We start from the raw sequence: 22,703 nt of genomic DNA on the forward strand, positions 1-22,703 counted from the left end.
TGTGAGGTTCAGCCTTATCTGGTATCCAGTAACAAAGTCACTGTGGTCTTACAGTTTACTCCTGTCACAGCTGTGAGTACTAAAGGAGAGAGTTCCCCCCAGGAGTAGCATTTTGCTGCCATTTAAAAGATCCAGTCAAATAGCTCCGTAGACACATGATGCTTAGAGATTTGTGTCTACATGTTTATAATACTTGGTGGCAGCATAAAATCATGGGACAATCAGTACTTCTGTGCAATGGAGGTGGAGTGAATTTTATGTGCTTTTAATCAGATTTTGAGTTAGATTTCAAGTGGGCAGCAGCAGAAACTTAGATTGAATTTTCATAGTGCCATTTCTTGGATCCACCTCCTGAGTTGTCTTTCAAATCTAAATGTTGTATAGGAATGGGGCAGAGGTAAAAGGACTCCTCTTGGACCCTTTTTGATTTCATCCCAGAATCTAAAAAATGACTGTGGGTCTCCCACAGCCCTTGGCTCAGAGGTGAATCCCCTCTTCACCACTGTTAAGAGTCAAATGTTCTTTTGAGATCCCTAAAAGGAAAGGCTGATTTAGTTTAGTTTTAATCTTTGCCATTGGGGCCAAACACAGGATAGGCAAATGAGTGTTTTTGAATGAATAAACCAGCCACATTCACCGCTTACTCCATTGCTTGCTGGAAGGGAGTCAGGTGGTTATTCAAAGATGCTTTTTCTTTAAGAGAATGGCTATATTAAGTACGCAGTTTTCAGCACTTTTAGTAAAGCGAGCTCTACTCTGAACAAAACCAGCAACCCGAGAAGCGATAATGATGTGAAGACAGTTGAGGAGCACATCCCTGGCGTAAGACTGGACTGCCTGTGGTCCAAACCATGCTTCACCACGTCAGTATACTCATCTTTAAAATTAAGATACTAATATGTGCCATCTCAGCGCGGTTGTGTAGATTAGTTACTATATTTAAAATGCCTGCTACACCATAAGCAGCAAATGTTAGATACTGTTTTAATCTTTGGCATATATCATGATACATTTGCTACAGTGGGGTAGGGGTAAGCGTGGGGGTCTAGGGCAGTTAGACACAGTGGGCCATTTAGGGACAGAATACCCCAGTACACGTGTACTTAGGAGTATTTCAGTTCTCCGTGGCTAGTAAAGCCAAGGGATCAGGTAGGGTGAATGAGTCCTTCCCAAGGTCACCTAGCATTGATGGCGGAGACACTCGGCGTTTTCTGGGCCGAATCCCTTCCCATCAGCCACCGGCGGGTTTGGGAGGGTGTGGAAGAGTGTTGGAGTCACCTTAAGTGCCCTTAATTCCTCATCCTGGCATTAGGGTTCAGGAGTAGAGAAGGGAGACTAAGCGGGACGCTTCAGTATGCGCCCTTGGGGCTGAAGGAACCTCCCCGCTAAACCTCGGTTTCCCTGACCCCAAAGGGCAGCGCTCACTGGGGAAGCGGCGCCGCCAGCTGCCAGGACGCTCCCGCGCAGCCCGGTTTCCCTACGCCGGGGCGGGGCAGAGGGGCGGAAGGGGCGGGGCGGCCGGGCCGCGGCGGCCTCCGACTGGATACGGCGGATCGCCGGGGGCCTGAGGGTGGAGTCCCGGCCGGAGGCAGGCCGGGACTCTGGTGGGTCTAGGCGCGGATCGGACCCAAGCAGGTCGGCGGCGGCGGCAGGAGAGCGGCCGGGCGTCAGCTCCTCGACCCCCGTGTCGGGCTAGTCCAGCGAGGCGGACGGGCGGCGTGGGCCCATGGCCAGGCCCGGCATGGAGCGGTGGCGCGACCGGCTGGCGCTGGTGACGGGGGCCTCGGGGGGCATCGGCGCGGCCGTGGCCCGGGCCCTGGTCCAGCAGGGACTGAAGGTGGTGGGCTGCGCCCGCACTGTGGGCAACATCGAGGTGAGGCCGGGCCGAGGGCGGGGACGTCGCGGGCGGGTCGTTTCCCCGGAGTCGGGTTCACCTGCCCGCCACGCCGGGGCCCTTTGCTCTAGTCGGGGCGGCCTCTCGGATCCCTTAAGGCAGGCTTCTCCCTTCCCCTTAAGTCTCATCTTTGAAGGAGCCGTTTGCCCTGACAGCCCCTGCTCGAGTTACCGAATCTCCGACCCCGGCATCTCCCCACCCGCCCCTCGGGTCTCCCCAGGGTATTGGCCCGAGGAAGGGGAAGCCGGAGGTCGGGGGTGGTGGTCTCGCCCCTGTGGCCTTCTCGCCCCCGGCGGCCAAGTGCCTCTAATCTCCAGAAGTCACCCACCACGCAGGGCAAGGTGGCTGGCCAACCAGATGGGCAGGAGCCAGGACTGAGGTTGGGGTTGGGGTGGGAGCTTTACTGAAGAGCCTCAGCCCCGCCCCCTCACCTCGGGGGTAACTCATGCCCAGTGGCATGAGGAATGAATGGAATATTCATTAGTGGGCCCTCCTCCACTCTCCTGGGGCGAACAGAGTGGGTGAAATCGGGCGGAAACCTTGAGAGGATAAAGCAACCTGGAACTCCTTACTCTGCTCTTGACGTGGGGTTGGGAGCCCTCAGAGCTCAGAGAAAAATCAAGATGGCCATTTTGGAGCAGGGAGGAATTTCTGTGCTAGGCTCTCTCTGGATGTGCCCTGTAAGCTCATTCTCAGTGTCGGGCTAGTGCTTAGCTGCAGGGCTTTATCTCCACCGTGCTCAAAGTCCTCAGGCAGGGAAAGGGTAAGGAGGCCTTGGGTGGGGGCAGAGGGAGAAGGTATACAGGAAGGAGGACTGTCCCCTCCCCTGCTGCTGACCAAAGGTATGCTTTATAACCCAGATAATCCCAAGGTCACCTGGCTCCATCACTGCCCCACTCTTTCCTCCCTTTATCCTATTCTGAGGAGCTCAGGACCCAGCCCCAGCCTTGGAGCCCAGAGGATCAGGCCAGGGATTAAACAACTGGATTCTGTAATTCTGAAGCCACTCTTGCCTTCTCACCTACTCCCCTACCGCAAGCTAGCCAGGAAGGGGGGGCCTGAGCCCCAAGGGGATCCCCAGGCTGATCACTCAGTCCCAGGGTGACTCCATGTCTGAGAGGAGAATGCCCCTGTTGTGAGGGGGTGACATGATGTTGTAGATCATTACTGAGGGGAGGTAGGGAGATCAGGTGGCACAGGTGGGGCAACAGGAAGGCAGTGACAGGGAGAAATACATTCTGAGCTCATCCCTTCTGGTTTTCTTGTGGCAGGAATTTTGAGTCTAGAGGAGGAAGCGGGAAGATGTACACCAGGGGAGGGGAAAGCTGCAGTCTTCCTTGCCCACAGTCTGCTTTGATTGATTCAGTCATTGATGTTAAAGCAGAATTTGGGTTCTAGCTTCCTACAGAGAAAACTCCTGTTTCCTGAAGTGATCAAATGTGGGTAAAATCTGGTGAAGGGGGGTTTCTGATTCTCAGAGGACTATACCTTTTGAACTCACAGAAAGTCAAAGCAGAAAAGAATGTCCCAAGACACCCGATCCTGTCCTTTATTCCTGGCTCAGCTTGGGAGGAGGAAGGGGCTCCAGGCCAGGGCAGCTGGCCAAGCTGGCCTTCCTCTAGGGCACCGCACGCCCCTTCCCCCTCGCCCACGTCTACACAGTCACCATCACAAGGCTCAAGTGCCCAGTCACTGGCTTCCAAAGAAGGCCACAGAACGTATTTTCTTCTTGCCTCTGAATGTCAGCTTCCCCCTGGGCTGCCTCTCAGTGGCTCTGCCTTCTCAGGTCTTTCTTGGCATGCTGAGGGCCTGGAGATGCACAGGGGGTGTTCAATGGCACCTGCCACCTGAATTGCCTCATAGTCTCCTGAGAAACCTCAGAGGGGAGGGTGGTGCACCAGGGCTCAGAGAGAAAGAATCTGTCCTGACTTTCTGACCCCTCCTTTAGGTAGGGAGAGAAGATTGGCAGCTGGGCTTGGTTGAAAGGCATGTCTGAGAACTCTGAGCCAGTTGGCTGCAGTTTGCGAGGGGAGGGGAATAGTTCAGAGATGAGGGACTGGCTGACACAATGCAGAAGAAGCTGGGTTAACCAGCCCAGTGACTCTCGGGACTGGTGTAGAAGCATGAAGTGGTGGAGAGGCGCATATTACCTATGGGCAGAAGAGGTGTTCCTGTTGAGGAAGAGGCAGAAAAGAGAGAGCACTCCATTCTCTAGGTCCCTGGCCCCTGTTCCACCCAGGACTTGAGTTTATTTATTTATTTATTTATTTATTTGAGACACAGTCTTGCTCTGTCACCCAGGCTGGAGTGCAGTGGCGTGATCTCAGCTCCTGCAACCTCCGCCTCCTGGGTTCAAGTGATTCTTGTGCCTCAGCCTCCCAAGTAGCCACCACACCCAGCTAATTTTTGTATTTTCAGTAGAGATAGGGTTCCACCAAGTTAGCCAAGGCTGGTCTCAAACTCCTGACCTCAACTGGTCCACCCGCCTTGGCCTTCCAAAGTGTTGGGATTACAGGCATGAGCCACCACGCCCAGCCAGGACTTGAGTTTATAGTGAGGTTTCTCCATTGATAACAGCCTTTTCCCTTCATCACTCGGGGAGCACTGTCATCCCTTAGACTTTGACCAAAGAGGACAGACTTAGGGGATGGGCAGTCCAACATCTTCGTGGCTGAAAGTCAGCTGCCAAAGGAGCATGTTTTATGAGTGTGACGGGGGTCGGGGTCTGAGGCTGGCTAGGGAGCCGTGGGAGTGAGCTGCTCACCCCAGTCAGACCCCTGTTGGGTTTCATAGGAGCTGGCTGCTGAATGTAAGAGTGCAGGCTACCCCGGGACTTTGATCCCCTACAGATGTGACCTATCAAATGAAGAGGACATCCTCTCCATGTTCTCAGCTATCCGTTCTCAGCACAGCGGTGTAGACATCTGCATCAACAATGCTGGCTTGGCCCGGCCTGACACCCTGCTCTCAGGCAGCACCAGTGGTTGGAAGGACATGTTCAATGTAAGAGCTCCAAGCCTCCATCTTCCAGGTGGAGGGTGGGGAGGAGAGAGGGGAGCCAGGGGTTTGTGAACCAGAGTGCTGCTGGGGACGGGACATCTAGGAAGAGGGAGCTTCGGGTTCCCACCTGGGGCATCTTGACTCTCTCTTGGCTTCTTGCCCTACCAGAGGGATAGAGAGTGGATGAATGGCCATATCAGCTCTTCTCTTCTTTGAGCCCCTGGAGGTAGTTCTTTTTTTTTTTTTTTTTTTTTTTTTTTGAGATAGAGTCTTGCTTTGTCACCCAGGCTGGAGTGCAGTGGCATGATCTCTGCTCACTGCAACTTCCGCTTCCCAGGTTCAAACGATTCTCCTGCTTGAGCCTCCTGAGTAGCTGGAATTACAGGCACCCATCATCAATGCCCATCTAATTTTTTTGTATTTTTAGTAGAGACAGGGTTTCACCTTGTTGGCCAGGCTGGTCTCAAACTCCTGATCTCAGGTGATCTGCCCATGTTGGCCTCCCAACGTGCTGGGATTACAGGCATGAGCCACCACGCCCGACCTGAAGGTAGTTCTTAAAGTCTAGAGTGATTTCCTTGTGTTAGAAGAAAGATTGTTAGGGGAGAGAACTGCTGCCTGTTGAATGTTTCCCACTTGTCAGTCCTGTGCCTGGGTGCTTGGGAACGTGATGTTATGGGAAGAAAAGGAAGAGAGAGACAAGTGATGATATTCTTACCTAGCCTCACTAGTAACTATGTGACTTTAGGCAGGTTGGTTACCTTCCTTGAGCTTCAGTCTTGTCACAATTAATTGGGATGAACACACCTCTATCATCAATATCTGGGGTCACAGCTCCAATGTCCCCTGGGGCCAGGTAGGTACATAAAGGAGTGAGGGAGGTTAGGAGGGGTCTGTGGTGTGTGAGGAAGCACACAGCCACTGCTCAAATCCTGCATAGTTGCTCTATGGTGGTGTGGGCCCAGTGTGGCCTGATTTGATGAAATTTTTTTTTTTTTTGAGGCGAAGTCTTGCTCTGTAGTTACCAGGCTGGAGTGCAGTGGCGTGATCTTGGCTCACTGCAACCTCCGCCTTCTGGGTTCAAGCTATTCTCCTGCCTCAGCCTCCTGAGTAGCTGGGACTACAGGCGGGCACCACCATGCCCAGCTAATTTTTTTTGTATTTAGTAGAGATGGGGTTTCATCATGTTGGCCAGGATGGTCTGTATCGCCTAACCTCGTGATCCGCCTGCCTTGGTCTCCCAGAGTGCTGGGATTACAGGTGTGAGCCACCACGCCCAGCTGATCTTATGATTTCTTTGAGAGAAGTGGGGAGTCTGATTTTATGTGACACCCCCCCACTCCCATTCACTAAAATGACAGCTCCATGAGGGCAAGTATTTTATCTGTTTTATTCTCTGGTATGGCTTGATCCCATAAGCACTGAAAAGATAGTTATTGAATAAATGAAACTTTCCAGTACATGTTGGAAGGGTTTTTAAAATGTTTTGAAACTGTGCACAGGCCAAACCCAACTTTCAGGACATGGGTTTTCAACTTCTGGATGGTATGATGGGGTGATAGTAGGGTATAAAAGTATCCTGAGAAGTTGAAAGCAGTGTGTGAATGGGGTGTTCTTTTCTCCCCACAATCCTTTCCCATCTGCTGACAGTAGACTTAGCACCTCACAGATGCTTGGGCCTGGAAATGAAGCCATGAAAATGAAGCCCTCAGCCTTCTTGGAGATCAGAGCCATGGTCCTCACCCACAGCACATGGGTCTCTAAACCTGGACCTCAACTCGCCCATCTGTAAAATGAGGGACTTACATTAAATTCCTACAGCTCCTTTCAGCTTGAACATTATCTGAGTCTATTAGGATCATCCTATGAGGCATCTTCTCTTTCCCTGCCCCTGATACCCTAGACCTGGGAGATTTACTCACCTGGTCCCAGGGGATCTATTTCTCCCACTCTACCTGCCAGGGGCTGAGTTCTCTGCCTCACAAGCCCACATTGCCAAGAAGATGAGAAACACGGCTGGAAACCTCCCTGTCCTGGCACCCATCTCTTCCTACTGCCATGAACACCAAGACAGGTTCACACCAAAGGTGTTCTGTTCCTCATGGCAGGCTCTGCCACCTGATTAAGAGAAACATCTAATCTCCTGCTGGTTCCCTCTCTTCTTAAGAGGAGAGGCCTGAGGACCTGCTGAAAGCTTTATCTCTGCTTGTCCTCCGGGTGAGGCTAATGAGTGGGGCCAACGGGTGGGGCAGTGTAGGCGCTTTACAGCAGACACGCCTTCAGACCTCTGTTCCCTGAAGGGTGGGGATGTGGGGGTCACCTCTGCCAGAGGGAGTAGGAGTGGCAAGTTACCTGACCCTCTAGAGTCTCCGTGCCTAGTCTTGTAGATGGAACCCACGTTAAAGGAAGGCATAGAAAGGAGGGTCAGGCCTTCTCTTCTCCACTCATCTCAAGGGAGGGGATGGGGAAGGAGCAGAGAGTAGCTGAGGAAGGTAGGGAGAGGCTAGGCTGTGTGCCGGAGGAGAGAGATTTGTAAGCCATTTTGGTAAGGATTTTGAGCAGTTTAGGAGGGAGCAGGGCCAGAGACTGTCACAGAGAAGAGAAGAGTAGGGTATTTGGGGGAAGAAATGGAAATGATTCCCTATGGAATTAGAGGGTCTGTGCTACTGTTCATAGAGGAGATGGCCAAGACAGAGTCTCCTGGGTCAGGAGTGGGTTTGAAGGGTTTCCATTCTTGTTTGCAGGAACTTGGGGGGTCAGCCAGGTGAGGAGCTACCTCTGTTATCAACTGGGGGTTGCGGCTTTAGGGAGAGGGGCATCTCGTGTAGAAGACAAGATGCTCTGTGCCTGTGGCTGGTCTCCGGGGGGACCTGGACACTGTTTTGGAATGCCACACTGCCCCCTTCCCCCCTAGCATTCTGTGGCTCCATCACTTGCTCAGTTGGGCCGGAGTGGAGACACCTCATTGCCCTCCCTGGCCTGCAGGTGAACGTGCTGGCCCTCAGCATCTGCACACGGGAAGCCTACCAGTCCATGAAGGAGCGGAATGTGGACGATGGGCACATCATTAACATCAATAGGTGAGGGCAGGTGGCCAATGGGTACCACTCACCCACCAGGCTGGGTAATGTGCTGCAGCTCACCTGACCTCTTTGGACCTCAGTTTCCTTGGTGGGAAAATACAGATTTAATACCTGAATGGCACAATTATGGTGAGGGAAAGAATAATGTTGTCAAGTACCAGCCCCTGGTTGGCTGGAATGGGCAGCTTAGCCCCTTCCCTCTACAGCTGAAGCCTGGGGCCTCTCCTGGGACTAAGTGCCTCGATTCCTCAGGCCTGGGGATGAACCCCACCTCATGGCACAAAGAGTACTATGTACAGTGTCTGCCACTGGGGAGCCCCAGTCTGAGGGGGGACATGGCCTCTGCCTGCCTTGAGATGTCCCAATAGAACCGTATCAGTGAACATACAGATTAGATGGAGAGAATTCTGACATTCTGCACCACCAGGAGAGTGCATTCTGTCGTCAGCTTAGGGATGAGTTCCAGGAAAAGGAGGGTTTTCCAAAGCTGTTTGAATAACCAAAATTAGATTAGTGAGCTGTAGGATGGCCAGTAGAGGTCCCCTTTAGAAGTCTTCCCGATGGGCATCTGGGTGGTGGGGCTGACCGGGTACGGCAGGAGCACCACTGGTCTCCCTGGAACTTCATTCTCTCCTCTTTCCCCTTCCTCTCCCCACCCAGCATGTCTGGCCACCGAGTGTTACCCCTGTCTGTGACCCACTTCTATAGTGCCACCAAGTATGCCGTCACTGCGCTGACAGAGGGACTGAGGCAAGAGCTTCGGGAGGCCCAGACCCACATCCGAGCCACGGTGAGGCTGTGGCCTAGCCCTGGTGGGCACAGGGTGGCGCAGGCCCTCCCCACCCACACACACCGTTCAGGAAGCCCATGTTCAGAATGTGCCGCTCAGAGCTCCTGGGAGTGGACTGGGCACAGAACTGGGTGCTGCTGCTCCAGGCATGGCCCTATGCAGCCCTTCATTTCCTCATTTCACTGATCCAGGAGCCAACGACCAGACTTAGACTTTGAGCTGGGAGGGGGCTGACCTGAGGGAAAGCAAGGGACTGTGGGAAACCAGGTGCACAGTGGCTGGAAACCGGGACTCTGGGCTCTTCTCTTGAAGGCCGCATGATCGTGAGCGAGTCACTGAACCTCCCTAAGCCTCGGCCTTCTCACTTGTGAAAAGGAGATGATGAGCTTTTCAGGGACACTTTTTTGTAAAACGTTTACCTGACATATAGGAAAGGCTCTGTAGATGGTAGGTATCATTGTGGTCACTGCCAGTGGCAGCTTCGGAGGGAGGAGGCCGCTGCCGGATATCAGGCAGCCATCACTGTGAAGCTGGGGTTCTGTGGCCTCCATCCTCTCCCCTCGACCTCCCCAAGACCTGGCAAAGCTCAGCCCCTGAGAAGGCCCTCTCTGTTGGCCCAGTGCATCTCTCCAGGTGTGGTGGAGACACAATTCGCCTTCAAACTCCACGACAAGGACCCTGAGAAGGCAGCTGCCACCTATGAGCAAATGAAGGTGGGGCCTCCCTCTGAGCCTGGTGAAGCCACTGACTCCCTAAATGAAGGCAGAGGGAAGCTCGGCCTTCAGACTCCACTCTTCCAGCCTTTGTGGCTCCTCCTGGAGGGTTGGGGTGGATGTGTGGATGCCACAGAGAAGCTCAGTGGTGGGAGGGAATTTGAGTCCATTCTGTCCTTGTCTCAACCCATTCCCCTGGTGCTCTCAGTGTCTCAAACCCGAGGATGTGGCCGAGGCTGTTATCTACGTCCTCAGCACCCCCGCACACATCCAGGTGAGTCTGGCCCTGACTGTCTACTCACTGGAGGAACCCAACCAGCCCCAGAGGAGGGGAGCAGGGAGCCCTGCAGGGCCAGGGGAGAGTGTCACAGCTGCCTCATGCCTTGTACCTTCCACAGATTGGAGACATCCAGATGAGGCCCACGGAGCAGGTGACCTAGTGACTGTGGGAGCTCCTCCTTCCCTCCCCACCCTTCATGGCTTGCCTCCTGCCTCTGGATTTTAGGTGTTGATTTCTGGATCACGGGATACCACTTCCTGTCCACACCCCGACCAGGGGCTAGAAAATTTGTTTGAGATTTTTATATCATCTTGTCAAATTGCTTCAGTTGTAAATGTGAAAAATGGGCTGGGGAAAGGAGGTGGTGTCCCTAATTGTTTTACTTGTTAACTTGTTCTTGTGCCCCTGGGCACTTGGCCTTTGTCTGCTCTCAGTGTCTTCCCTTTGACATGGGAAAGGAGTTGTGGCCAAAATCCCCATCTTCTTGCACCTCAACGTCTGTGGCTCAGGGCTGGGGTGGCAGAGGGAGGCCTTCACCTTATATCTGTGTTGTTATCCAGGGCTCCAGACTTCCTCCTCTGCCTGCCCCACTGCACCCTCTCCCCCTTATCTATCTCCTTCTCGGCTCCCCAGCCCAGTCTTGGCTTCTTGTCCCCTCCTGGGGTCATCCCTCCACTCTGACTCTGACTATGGCAGCAGAACACCAGGGCCTGGCCCAGTGGATTTCATGGTGATCATTAAAAAAGAAAAATCGCAACCAATCTGCCTTGGCTTCAGGAGTGTCTTTCCATTCTTTCCCCTTCTCTGTGATCAGGGGTGCTTGTGTCTCAGAATTTCTTCCAGGTAGGTCCCAGGTGGGTGGATTGGGGGCCTCACTCATGGGAGTATGGATTACCTTAGGTAGCAGGAATGGGTTTGTTTGGGCCTTGAAAACATGTAGGAGTTTGACAAAGCGAAGACAGGTGTGCAAGGCTGAGAGGTCTGGAAGAGCATGCAGTGCTGTGCGAACAGCTCAGAACTTAAGCACAGGAGCAAGGAGCCAGATGGGGCTGAAGAGGCAGCTCCTTCCTGCCTTCCTGGATCGCTGGGGGGCTGAGTGCTGCGCAAGAGTCTCGCCATTACCTGTGGGACGGGGGCGTTAGTGAGCTTGTCAGCAGGAACACGACAGGCTCAGAGTCACTTAGGAAGAGAATCAGCGGCCCGGGATAGGAAGTGACTGTTGGGGTCCTGCTGGCTGGTGATGGGCTAGTGAGAAGTTCTGGGAAAAATCACCAGCGCCGGGATGTGGGGAGGGAGGCAACAAGACTGAATTGGTTGACCAGGAAGGCCAACCCATCTCCTTAAAGGGCCCTTCACTGGTGCGTGGGTGAATGCGGTCCCCGGCCTCCTGGGACCTCGAGGAACACAGGACGCAGCCGGTAGTACGGCCAGCTCAGCTCGCCGCTCCTCTAGCCTTGAGGGAGGCGCTGTGGGGGACAGCCTGGCAGCCACGCATGCGCAAAACACCGTCAGGAAGGGGCCGGGGAGGGGCGGGCTCCCGAACCCGGAAGCGAGGGACCCACGTGGGAGCCTGGGAGCGGGTGGTCGTAGCTCGGTAGTCCAGTTGTGGGTAATCGGGGCTGTTTGTTCCTGTCCGAGAGAGCTCGGCGGAGACGGCTGTCGAGTACCCTTCACCTCGGTGTTGGGAGCCTGGGAGCGAACTGCGGCGCGGGTTACCGCTCCCGGGGACGCAGCAAGGGGCATCGAGTCCCTGGCGGGAGCTGCGCCATGGCATTGCTCTCGACCGTCCGGGGCGCGACCTGGGGTCGCCTCGTCACCCGTCATTTCTCCCATGCAGCGCGGCATGGGGAGCGGCCTGGTGGGGAGGAGCTAAGCCGCTTGCTGCTGGATGACCTGGTGCCGACCTCTCGGCTGGAGCTTCTGTTTGGCATGACCCCGTGTCTCCTGGCTCTGCAGGCCGCCCGCCGCTCTGTGGCCCGGCTCCTGCTCCAGGCGGGTAAAGCTGGGCTGCAGGGGAAGCGGGCCGAGCTGCTCCGGATGGCCGAGGCGCGGGACATTCCAGTTCTGCGGCCCAGACGGCAGAAACTGGACACAATGTGCCGCTACCAGGTCCACCAGGGTGTCTGCATGGAGGTGAGCCCGCTGCGGCCCCGGCCTTGGAGAGAGGCCGGGGAGGCGAGCCCAGGCGACGACCCCCAGCAGTTGTGGCTCGTCCTCGATGGGATCCAGGATCCCCGGAATTTTGGGGCTGTGCTGCGTTCCGCACACTTCCTCGGAGTGGATAAGGTCATCACCAGCCGGAGAAACAGGCACGGACGTCCCTCATTCTCTATGTGCCCCAACTTGGAGACGCAGCCGAGTTCCTAAGCACCTTGGCCCTTGGGTGATCCCTTAGCCAGACTTACCTGTCCCAGAACTCTCATCCCCCTAGCCCTTGGGAGCCCTGGGAGGGTAGGGAGCCGGGCTTGAGATGGCCCAGCCTAATGCGGGGAACGGGGAAACCTTGCAGCTGCCCGCTCACTCCAGTAGTCAGCAAGTCCAGCGCGGGGGCTATGGAGGTGATGGACGTGTTCTCCACTGATGACCTCACCGGATTTTTACAGGTAATGAGGGGCAAGAGGGGAAGGAACAGATGTGAGCCCAGCTCAGCCTCTTCAAGGGGACGAAGCTAGCCCCTGGCGAGGGAGAGAAAGGGGCATGTTGGCACCGCTTCCTTTGGCCTTCTAAATCCCTCTGGGGATGGAAGGGTCCTGGAGTTTTTAAAACGGCAAATGGAGCATTAGCTGAATTCTTCCTAGCGTTATACCCTTTCCTGCACCCCTTCCCCAGGTATGCACCACTTTGCCTCTTCTGTAAGTCAGCCTCAGTGTCTATTTGCCTACTAGGTCGGGCTTCAGTAAATGCATTTTGTTCAGCTGTGGGGAGCTGCGTACAGGAGACCTGAGTTCCTCGAATAGGGCACAGCTTGAAAGGATGTTTGAACAAGAAGATCTTTATGCCATTAGTATCTAGCAAGAGACAAACCTTGGAAACCCCTCTCCCATCCGTTTGTCTTCAGCTGTGCTTCCCTTGCTGGACACAAGGAGGCAGTATTGCTCTGCATATGGAATCCCCTCTGACCATACCCCCCCCAACCCCCACCCCAACTGCAGGGTGAGAAATTTCCCTCTTAAGAAGGGGGAGAGCTCTGGGACCTGTCTAGAACAACGCTGTCCAATAAAAATATGGTGTGAGAAACATAGGTAGTTTTAGCTTTTCTAGTAGCCACATTGAAAAGTAAAGAGATGACATTTTAAATAAATTGTGTCCAGTATATCCAAAATAATATCAATTTAACATGTAATCATTTTAATTATTATTAATATTATTAATTTTTTGAGAGAGTTTCATTCTTATTGCCCAAGCTGGAGTGCAGTGGTGCAATATTGGCTCACTGCAACCTCTGCCTCCTGGGTTCAAGTGATTCTCCTGCTTCAGCCTTCCAAGTAACTGGGATTATAGGCACACACCATGCCCAGCTAATTTTTTTTTTTTGTATTTAGATGGGGTTTCACTATGTTGGTCCGGCTGTTCTTGAACTCGTGACCTTAAGCGATCCACTCGCCTCGGCCTCCCAAAGTGCTGGGATTATAGGCATGAGCCACCGCACCTGGCCTTTAAAAAATATTATTAATGAAATATTTTACATTCCTTTAAAAAATGTTTTACATACAACACACCTCGATTTGAATTAGCCACCTTTCAATTGCTTAATAGCCACATGTAGCTAGTGGCTACTATATTGAACAGCACATATCTAGAAGCATTTTTTGGCTTCACTTTTTTGTAGAGAGCCCCTTTCTCCAAGCCTGATAGGAGATGAGGTTCCCACTCATCACTTCCAGCCCCTGAACAGGTAGCTTCTGAAAACACAGAAACACTGCAGAACATCCACTTAAGCTCCAGGCATCACATCTCCCTACTGTCATCAGCATCTGACCTGGAGAGTGTCATCCGCCTGTTGCTGTGGAAGAGCTGGAGGTGCCCCAAGCAGGGGCCTGTGCTGGGGCCCCATCCCTTCCTGCGTACTCAGAGACACTGCTGTAGCAATTTTCCTCCTCTTCCTGCAGCATCCACTTTTCTCTTACACTCTCTTCAGCATGCAAGCAAACATTCCCCTCTCACGCTCTTGATCTCACACCAGTCAGCTCTTCCTCTCACACTGAATCAAAGGCTTCATCAAGGTCACCAGTGGCCTCCATGTTGCTGCATTCCAGGGTCTGTTCTCAATTCTTTTCTGACTTGACCCATCTGCAGCAGCTGGCACAGTTGACCACTCCTTCCTCCTTGAAACACTATACCTGCTTTCCTTCTGCTTCACCATGTCCTCTCTGAGAGACATTTTTAGTGGTTCTTCCTCAACCCCCTGACTTCCGAGCATTAGCATTTCCCAGATTTTAGTCCTCGGATCTCTTTTGTTGTTGTTGTTAAGAGATGGGGTCAGCTGGGCACAATGGCTCACGCATGTAATCCCAGCACTTTGGGAGGCTGAGGCAGGCAGATCATGAGGTCAGGAGATCAAGACCATCCTGGCTAACACGGTGAAACACCATCTCTACTAAAAATACAAAAAATTAGCTGGGTGTGGTGGTTCGTGCCTGTAGTCCCAGCTACTCGGGAGGCGGAGGTAGGAGAATCGCTTGAACCCGGGAGGTGGAGGTGGTAGTGAGCCGAGATTGTGCCACTGCACTCCAGCCTGAGTGACAGAGTGACGTGTCAAAAAAAAAAAAGAGATGAGGTCTTGGCCGGGAGCGGTTGTTAAGAGATGGGGTCTTGGCCAGGCACGGTGGCTCACGCCTATAATCCTAGAACTTTGGGAGGCTGAGGCAGGTGGATCACCTGAGGTCAGGAGTTCGAGACCAACCTGGCCAAAATGGTGAAACCCTGTCTCTACTAAAAATACAAAAATTACCTGGGCATGGTGGCGGGCACTTGTAATCCCAGCTGCTCGGGAGGCTGAGGCAGAAGAGTTGCTTGAATCCAGGAGGCGGAGGTTGCAGTGAGCCGAGATCACAGCGTTGCACTCCAGCCTGGGCAATAAGAGTGAAACTCTATCTCAAAAAAAAAAAAAAGAGAGAGAGAGAGAGAGAGAGATGGGGTCTTGCTGTGTTGCCCAGCCTGGAGTCCAGTGGCACAATCACAGCTCAGTATAGCCTCCGAATTCCTGGGCTCAAGCCATCCTCCCACCTCAGCCTCCTGAGTAGTTGGAGATACAGGTGCACACCATCTCACCTAATTTTTTTCTTTCTTTTTTCTTTTTCTTTTTTTTTTTGTAGAGATGAGGTCTCACTTTGTTGCCCAGGCTGGTCTCAAACTCCTGGCTTCAAGAAGTCCTCCTGCCTTAGCCTCCCAAAATGCTGGGATTACAGGCGTGAGCCACCTCACCTGGTCCTGGATCTCTTTTCTGTATATGTTCATTTCTTGTTGGTCTCATCTAGTCTCATGGCTTTAAATACTATCTGAATTCAAATTCCCGCCCAAGTGTATACTCCAGCCTGGACCTTGGTTCTGAATTCCAGATTCACTCATCTAGTTGCCTACTGCACAGTTGTTGTTATTGTTGTTGTTGTTTTGCTGTCAGGCGGGCATTTCAAACCTAACATTTCTAAAACTGAGCGCTTGTTCCTTCTGGAGCAACTCCATCCCTTTGGTTGTTTAGGTCAAAAACCTTGGCATCATCCTTAACTAAAGTTATTTCCGTATTATCACCATTTCTGCCTGTTTCCACTGCTACCACTCTGGCCCAAGCAAGTCACCATCATCTGTTGACCGTTATTGCAGAAACTTCCCACCTGGCCTCCTTTCTTCTGCTCTTGGCTCTCAGCACAGCAGGCAGAGTGATTCTGTTGAAGTCATACCATGTTACTTCTCTGCTCAAAACCTTTCAAAGCCTCTGTACCGCTCAGATTCAAAGGCAGAGTCCTTCCAGTAGCCCTGGAGACCATACCTCATGTGGCTCTTGTTCCTTCTTCTGTCTTGACGCCTCTCTTCCCACTGGCCACCTTACTGTTCTCAAACATGCCAGGGAGGCACCTGCCTCTGTGCTTGCTGATCTCTCTGCCTAGAATGTTCTTGCCCCAGATGTCTGCACGGTGCTCCTCCTTCTCCTTCAGGTCTGCACTCAAATGTCACCTCAGTGAGTCCATCCCCACCTGCCCTTCCACAAGGCTGGGATTTTGGTCTGTTTTGTTTTGTTCAGTGCCCTGTCCTCAGTGCCTAGAACAGAGCCCATGCTAGGTGCTTAATAACTATTGACTAATTGACTGGATCAGCAGATAAATGAATGTATGGGCAAGGCTGGGCTCTTCCTTGGCCAGGGCTCTGATGGATAATTTTTTTTTTTTTTTTTGAGATGGGGGTCTCACTCTGTCACCCAAGCAGGAGTGCAGTGGCGCAATCTTAGCTCGCTGCAATGTCTGCCTCCTGGTCTCAAGAGATCCTCGTGTCTCCTGAGTAGCTGGGATTACAGGCTGATTTTTGTATTTTTAGTAGAGACAGAGTTTCACCATGATGCTCAGGCTAGTCTTTTTTTTTTTTTTGAGACAGAGTGGAGTCTCGCTTTGTTGCCCAGGCTGGAGGCAGTGGTGTGCTCTCAGCTCACTGCAACCTCCGCCTCCCGGGTTCAAGCGATTCTCCTCCCTCAGACTCCCAAATAGCTGGGACTACAGGCATGTGCCACCACACCCAGCTAATTTTTTGTGTGTTTTTAGTAGAGACGGAGTTTCACCATGTTAGCCAGGGTGGTCTCAAACTCCTGACCTCAGGTGATCCGCCCGCCTCGGCCTCCCAAAGTGCTGGGATTACAGGCGTGAGCTACTGCGCCTGGTTTTTTGTTTTTTTTTTTAATTTGAGATGGAGTTTCACTCTTGCTGCCCAGGCTGGAGTACAATGGCGCAATCTCGGTTGACTGCAGCCTCTGCCTCCCGAGTTCAAGCGATTCTCCTGCCTCAGCCTCCTGAGTAGCTGGGATTACAGGCATGCACCACCATGCCCGGCTAATTTTGTATTTTTAGTAGAGACGGGGTTTCTCCATGTTGTTCAGACTGGTCTCGAACTCCCAACCTCAGGTGATCCCCCTGCCTTGGCCTCCCAAAGTGCTGGGGATTACAGGCGTGAGCCACCGTGCCTGGGCCAGGCTAGTTTTGAACTCCTGACCTCAGGTAATCTGCCTGCTTCAGCCTCCCAAAGTGCTGGAATTACAGGCTTGAGCCACTGCATACAGCCTCTGATGAAGATTTGATGAATTAGAATAGGAGAGGCAGGCATGGTGGCTGACGCTTGTAATCCTAGCACTCTGGGAGGCCAAGGTGGGAGGATCGCTTGAAGCCAGGAGTTCCAGACCAACCAGGGCAACATGGCAAAACCTCATCTCAAAAAAAAAAATGCAAAAACTAGCCGGGTGGGGTGGCGAGTGCCTGTAGTCCCAGCTACTTGGGAGGCTGAGGTGGGAGGATCACCAGAACCCAGGCGGTTGAGGCTGCGGTGAGCTGTGATCGTGCCACTGCACTCCAGCCTGAGCGAGAGTAAGACCCTATCTCAAAATTAAAATAAAAAAAGAATTAGAACATATCTTCTTCCCCCTTTCAGACCAAAGCCCAGCAGGGCTGGCTCGTGGCCGGCACGGTGGGCTGCCCAAGCACAGAGGATCCCCAGTCCTCCGAGATCCCCATCATGAGTTGCTTGGAGTTCCTCTGGGAACGGCCTACTCTCCTTGTGCTGGGTAGGTGGATGTCCCTGCGTTTGTGCCCAGATTACATTTCCCGAGCAACTGGGTGTCCAGCTGGGCAACCCTAACCCTCAGCCCCACGCCCTGCAGGGAATGAGGGCTCAGGTCTATCCCAGGAGGTGCAGGCCTCCTGCCAGCTTCTCCTCACCATCCTGCCCCGGCGCCAGCTGCCTCCTGGACTTGAGTCCTTGAACGTCTCTGTGGCTGCAGGTGAGTCTACTCCCCTTTCCCTTTCCTCTATCCCTCTAATCACGCAGGTGGGATTTGATGCCCTCTAATCCCATTTGCTGGCTGTTTGTGTGCCTCAGTTGCTTTATGTACAAAATGGGGAAATTACATCCCGTTGATGAGATGAGGGGCTGCCTGAATGTCTAGGTCTCTAAACATCATCCTTCTCCTCCGTCCTCTCTTCCCTTGTCCTTGTGTCTGTGCAGGAATTCTTCTTCACTCCATTTGCAGCCAGAGGAAGGGTTTCCCCACAGAGGGGGAGAGAAGGCAGCTTCTCCAAGACCCCCAAGAACCCTCAGCCAGGTCTGAAGGGCTCAGCATGGCTCAGCACCCAGGGCTGTCTTCAGGCCCAGAGAAAGAGAGGCAAAATGAGGGCTGACGTGGACTGTCCACAGTGTTCATGTGCTGGAGTCAGGGACGGCCGCACCTGCCTCCGCCGGCTCCAGTGTGCGGGGAGCCTCTGCCTGAGTGTGCACCAGGCCCATGTTTATTGACCACAGTCTGGGGGGGGGGGAAGGGGACTGCGGTGGACACCAGAGGAAGCTGTTTCCTGTTGTGATGTTGGACCTGTAGTAGGACATGGTGATTTGTTAATTTCCATGGGAAGCCATGATGGCCTAGCATGGAGGGAATCTGTTCCCAGGCCCTGCCTGGAAGTTGAGGGAAAGTTTAGACATCTGCAGAGAGGCAGGCAGCCCAGCCCAGGGGACCCGTTCCTCTTGAACCAGTCATTGCCTGTGGCAAATGTGTGTATGAGAATGTGGGGGGTGGAGGGCGGGGCCCTGATGTGGAGTAGACAGTGCGCACCTCAGGCCCACACACGGCCCCGCCCTGGGGCCTTGAGCGCAGGCCTCATCTTTCTGTGCCGCGGGACTCCGCACCTACCTCACAGGGTTGTTGTGAGGCTCAAATAAAACATCACTCAGCACGTGGGAGATTCTGGCCAATTCCTCCGTTAGGTGGCAGCCTCGCTCTTCGGTCCAGTCTTCAGGCAGCTTCCACAGCCTCCTTGCGGGGAGACTCCTGGCTGCAGCCCCATGAGAGGCGACGGGAAATTAGCAAACACCTCCCACCCCACGGGGGCCCCCCACGGGTGACTGAGTCAGTTCCCTTCAAGGGGAGGAACTGGGAGCAGGCTTGCCGTTGATTGTACAACCGAGACAGATTTGGCACTCCTCCCCTCGGGTCCCAGGAAAGCAGCAGGAGCCAGCAGTGTGAGGAGCATAGAAGTGTTTCTGTCCTGGTGGCACATTGGAACCACCTGGCATGCTTTAAAAAACCCAACACTGACACCAGAGAGTCTGACATGATGGGTGTGGCGCCACCTGGCATCCGGCTTTCGAAAGCGCCACCATTGGTCTAATGTGCAGCCAAGGCTGAGAATCACCACTAGGGCAGGTGGACTCAAATTCCACACCCTTGACATTTTGGGCCAGATAATTTTTTGTTGTGAGAGCCATCCTGTGCACTGTAGGATGTTTAGCAGAATCCCCGACCTATACGCACTAGATGCCTGTAGCATGACCTCTCATTATGAAACCAGAAATGTCTCCAGACGTTGCCAGATGGCTTCTAAGAGACAAAAATCTCCCCTCCTGGAGCATGGCTTTGGAGGATAGCAACCCCGAACTTGCAATCCTGACTGCTATGTGACCTTGGGGGGGCGCTCCTTACCCACCTGGGCCTCGGTGCCCTCCTGGGCGAAAGGGGAATAATCCTACCTTCCTGGATTGTTGGGAGAATATGGAGGGCAATAGGAACTCACATGTATTAGGTGCTCAATAAATAGTACTCCACTTTTCTCTGGAATCCATCTGCATTGGATTTGTCTCAATTCTAATAATGGCAATGCCAATTTAGAGCAACACTTAAAGTTGTTTAAAAAGGGCCTATGCTCCTTTTTTTTTGAGACAGGGTCTCACTCTGTCGCTCAGGCTGGAGTGCAGTGGCGCGATCTTGGCTCACTGCATCCTCTGCCTCCCAGGTTCAAGTGATTCTCCTGCCTCAGCCTTCCAAGTGGCTGGGACTACAGGCGTGCACCACGCGCAGCTAATTTTTATATTTTTTTTTTGGTAGAGATGGGGTTTCACTGTGTTGGCCAAGCTGGTCTCAAACTCCTGGCCTCAGGTGATCTGCCCTCCTCAGCCTCCCAAAGTGCTGGCATTACAGGTGTGAACCTGGCCTAAAAAGGGCCTAAGATCTTTTTTTTTTTTTGAGACGGAGTCTCGCTCTGTTGCCCAGGCTGGAGTGCAGTGGCGCGATCTCGGCTCACTGAAAGCTCTGCCTTCCGAGTTCATGCCACTCTCTTGCCTCAGCCTCCTGAGTAGCTGGGACTACAGGCGCCCGCCACCAAGCCTGGCTAATTTTTTGTGTTTTTCATAGAGACGGGGTTTCACCGTGTTAGCCAGGATGGTCTCGATCTCCTGACCTCGTGATTCACCTGCCTCGGCCTCCCAATGTGCTGGGATTACAGGCGTGAGCCACTGCGCCCGGCCTAAGATCTTTTTAAAGTCAAAGTTACTCCTCTCAAGAAAGAGGACAGAATTCCTTCATAAACTGCACTGATCAGCTTCTGCCCCCCTTGAGCTCCCTGTCCCTGACTGCCACGCAGGCTCTGACCCATCCCTGCTTCATTCTTGGCCAAGTGCCTAGTGTAGTGATGTTTCACTTTGGCTTGTCATTGGGGTCAAGGAGGAGAATATTTTTAATATTTCAGAAGCCCAGAGGCACCTGACTGATTAAATCAGAATCTCTGGAGAAGGAGCCATGTGTTGGTTTTTATTTTTTCTTTTTTTGAGACGGAGTCTTGCTCTGTTGCCCAGACTGGAGTGCAGTGGCACAATCCCAGCTCACTGCAACCTCTGGCTCCTGGGTTCAAGCGGTTCTCCTGCCTCAGCCTCCCAAGTAGCTGGGATTACAGGTATGTGCCACCACACCCAGCTAAGTTTTGTATTTTTAGTAGAGATGGGGTTTCTCCATGTTGGCCAGGCTGGTCTCAAATTCCCTGACCTCAGGTGATCTGCCCGCCTTGGCCTCCCACAGTGCTGGGATTACAGGCGTGCACTACCATGCCCAGCCGATATTTCTTAAAGCTACTAGTTGATCTCATTGTGTGACCAGGTTCAAGAATCAGTGGCCTTTGAGCCACTCACTCATGTCCAAGAAACTGCTTCCCATGCACACCTGTGCTTTTGAGCTCATGCCTGAAAGTTTAGGTGAGGGTGAGCTTTCATCTGTCCCTCAGGTTCCGGAAGGTGCTCATTCCAGTCCTGGCTCCATGGCTTTCCACTTAGATGGCTTCTCAGCCTCCTCATCTTGGGGATAGTACCATTACTACCAGCCCTATCTACCCCCTTCCTTTTCAACAGAAGTTATAAAAATAAAATGAGAGTATCGGTAAAAGATGTTCTGTAAACCAGAGGACACTGCACCCCAGGACTAGCGCACAATAATACAGACTTTGATGTGGTGGTTAATTTTGTGTATCAACTTGACTGGGCCATGGGTTGCCCAGATGTTTGGTCAAACATTCTGGGTGTTTCTCTGAGGCTGTTTTTGGAAGAGATTAACGTTTACATTGGTAGACTGAGTCAAGCAGACCCCTAATGTGAGTGGGTCTCATCCATTCAGTTGAGGGCCTGAATAGAACAAAAAGTCTGACCTCTCCCAAGTCAGAGAATCCTTCCTACCTTCAGACTAGACCTGAAATATCAGCTCTTCCTGGATCTCAAGCGTGCTGGCCTTTGAATGGAAATGATACCATTGGTTTTCCTGGTGCTCAGGCCTTCAAACTCAGGCTGGAATGAAACCATCAGCTCTCCTGGGCGTCCAGCTTGCTGACTCACCCTGCACGTCTTGAGACTTGCCCGCCTCCATCATTGCATGAGCCAATGCCTTATAATCTCTTGAACACACGCACAGTTGTTTCTGTTTCTCTGGAGAAACCTAATGCAGTTGATGAAAATGAATGTAGGCGTCCCAGTGCTCCCTGCATATGGGATGCAGGGTTCAGCTTGCTCTCTAGAACCAAGCCCAACATGGAATTTAGAAGTTGGAGTAGGGGCTACTTAGGCACCCCACCCCCCACAGACTCCTCCATGGTGGCTGGAACCCGATCTAACCTGCCCTGGACATGCTGTTCATCAGCTTTCCCTGTCCCAGTGGTCTGGGCCATCTAGAAGACTCTCCTGGGCTTAGTCAGGTACAGGGGGCTTCTCCCTGCTTCACTCCCTGGGCAGCAGGCTGGCTGGCCTCTGGGAAGACAGGTTCACTTAAACCAAAGGGGATTGAGGCTTAAATTACAGGCCATACACACACAGGTGTGTGCTAATTTCTGGTATACAGGCAGTCCCCCAACAAAGAGGAAGGGTCTGAGGTCCTAAGGATGAGGAGGATGAGGCCTGATTCTCCTTTAGGCAGCCTCTGGTACCTGGCGCGGTGCCTATACACTGAGTGGACACTGCTCAGCAAGTGTGGGTTAAGTACACGGGAGCTGGGGAGGCTGTGGCTGTGGGTGTGAAGGGGCTGGGTGGGGGTCCATCCCCTGCAGGGCAAAGTTGGAATGAAGTCAGAGGAGAGAGCAGTGGTGGTTAAGAGCAGGAGCCTGGCTGCTAGACAGTGCTTGCTTTGAGTTCCAACTCTGTGGCTTGCTAGAAGTATAAATGTGGACATGTCCCTTAAATTCCAAGCCTCAGTTTTCATCGCCTATAAAATGGGGATGACAGTGGTGTCCACTTCAAAGGATGGTGGTATGGATTGAAAGAGGTCATACATGTAAAACCCTCAGCCCCATGCCTGGAGGAGCATGGTAGCTGCTCCTCAAAGCCTCTAGGGCCAGATTTAGAGGTCAGGGTGCTGGGTTGTGCTTCCCAACCAACCTGGCCTCCGTTTTCCTGTAGGCTCTGGCCCCTTTCATCTGCAGTGCACAATGATTTACCACTGGGAACTGCT

The 22,703-nt window shown here is 52.9% G+C and overlaps 2 protein-coding genes and 1 long non-coding RNA gene across 11 annotated transcripts in view; all 3 read left to right on the forward strand.

The window, feature by feature from the left end:
- The first annotated feature begins 1,595 nt into the window (after positions 1-1,595).
- On the forward strand, positions 1,596-10,521 carry DHRS11 (dehydrogenase/reductase 11). Of its 4 annotated transcripts, NM_024308.4 has the most exons (7): positions 1,596-1,873; positions 4,688-4,897; positions 7,880-7,974; positions 8,638-8,767; positions 9,388-9,480; positions 9,689-9,754; positions 9,879-10,521. In NM_024308.4, exons 1-7 carry the CDS (start codon positions 1,727-1,729, stop codon positions 9,918-9,920), a joined length of 783 nt encoding a protein of 260 aa, NP_077284.2. In that variant the 5' UTR covers positions 1,596-1,726; the 3' UTR covers positions 9,921-10,521. The 4 variants fall into 4 exon arrangements, with proteins under 4 accessions (NP_077284.2, XP_005257715.1, XP_011523535.1 ...); XM_005257658.4 differs by lacking the exon at positions 9,388-9,480; XM_011525233.3 differs by lacking the exon at positions 4,688-4,897.
- Positions 4,904-6,731, forward strand: LOC107985031 (uncharacterized). The gene is made up of 2 exons (XR_001752869.2): positions 4,904-5,750; positions 6,548-6,731. It is a non-coding gene; the product is annotated as an uncharacterized LOC107985031 (long non-coding RNA).
- Positions 10,522-11,299: 778 nt separating the features above from the next.
- The window catches only part of MRM1 (mitochondrial rRNA methyltransferase 1), a 33,116-nt gene continuing 21,712 nt past the window's right edge, over positions 11,300-22,703 (forward strand). For 4 of the 6 annotated variants that reach the window (XR_934554.2, XR_007065467.1, XM_011525275.3 and 1 more), the window contains exons 1-4: positions 11,300-12,069; positions 12,270-12,363; positions 17,387-17,519; positions 17,616-17,735. Coding sequence is in view for 4 of the 6 variants with exons in the window: in XM_011525275.3 (XP_011523577.1) it covers positions 11,528-12,069; positions 12,270-12,363; positions 17,387-17,519; positions 17,616-17,735 (889 nt within the window). In the remaining 2 variants the exon portion in view is untranslated. Of the gene's footprint in view, positions 12,070-12,269; positions 12,364-12,645; positions 12,998-17,386; positions 17,520-17,615; positions 17,736-17,959; positions 18,682-22,703 lie in introns of those variants that run through there. The other 2 variants (NM_024864.5, XM_005257694.6) reach the window with 2 other exon arrangements.

This window comes from Homo sapiens, chromosome 17 (genome assembly GCF_000001405.40).
Source record: "Homo sapiens chromosome 17, GRCh38.p14 Primary Assembly".
In the NCBI taxonomy this organism is placed as follows: domain Eukaryota; kingdom Metazoa; phylum Chordata; class Mammalia; order Primates; family Hominidae; genus Homo; species Homo sapiens.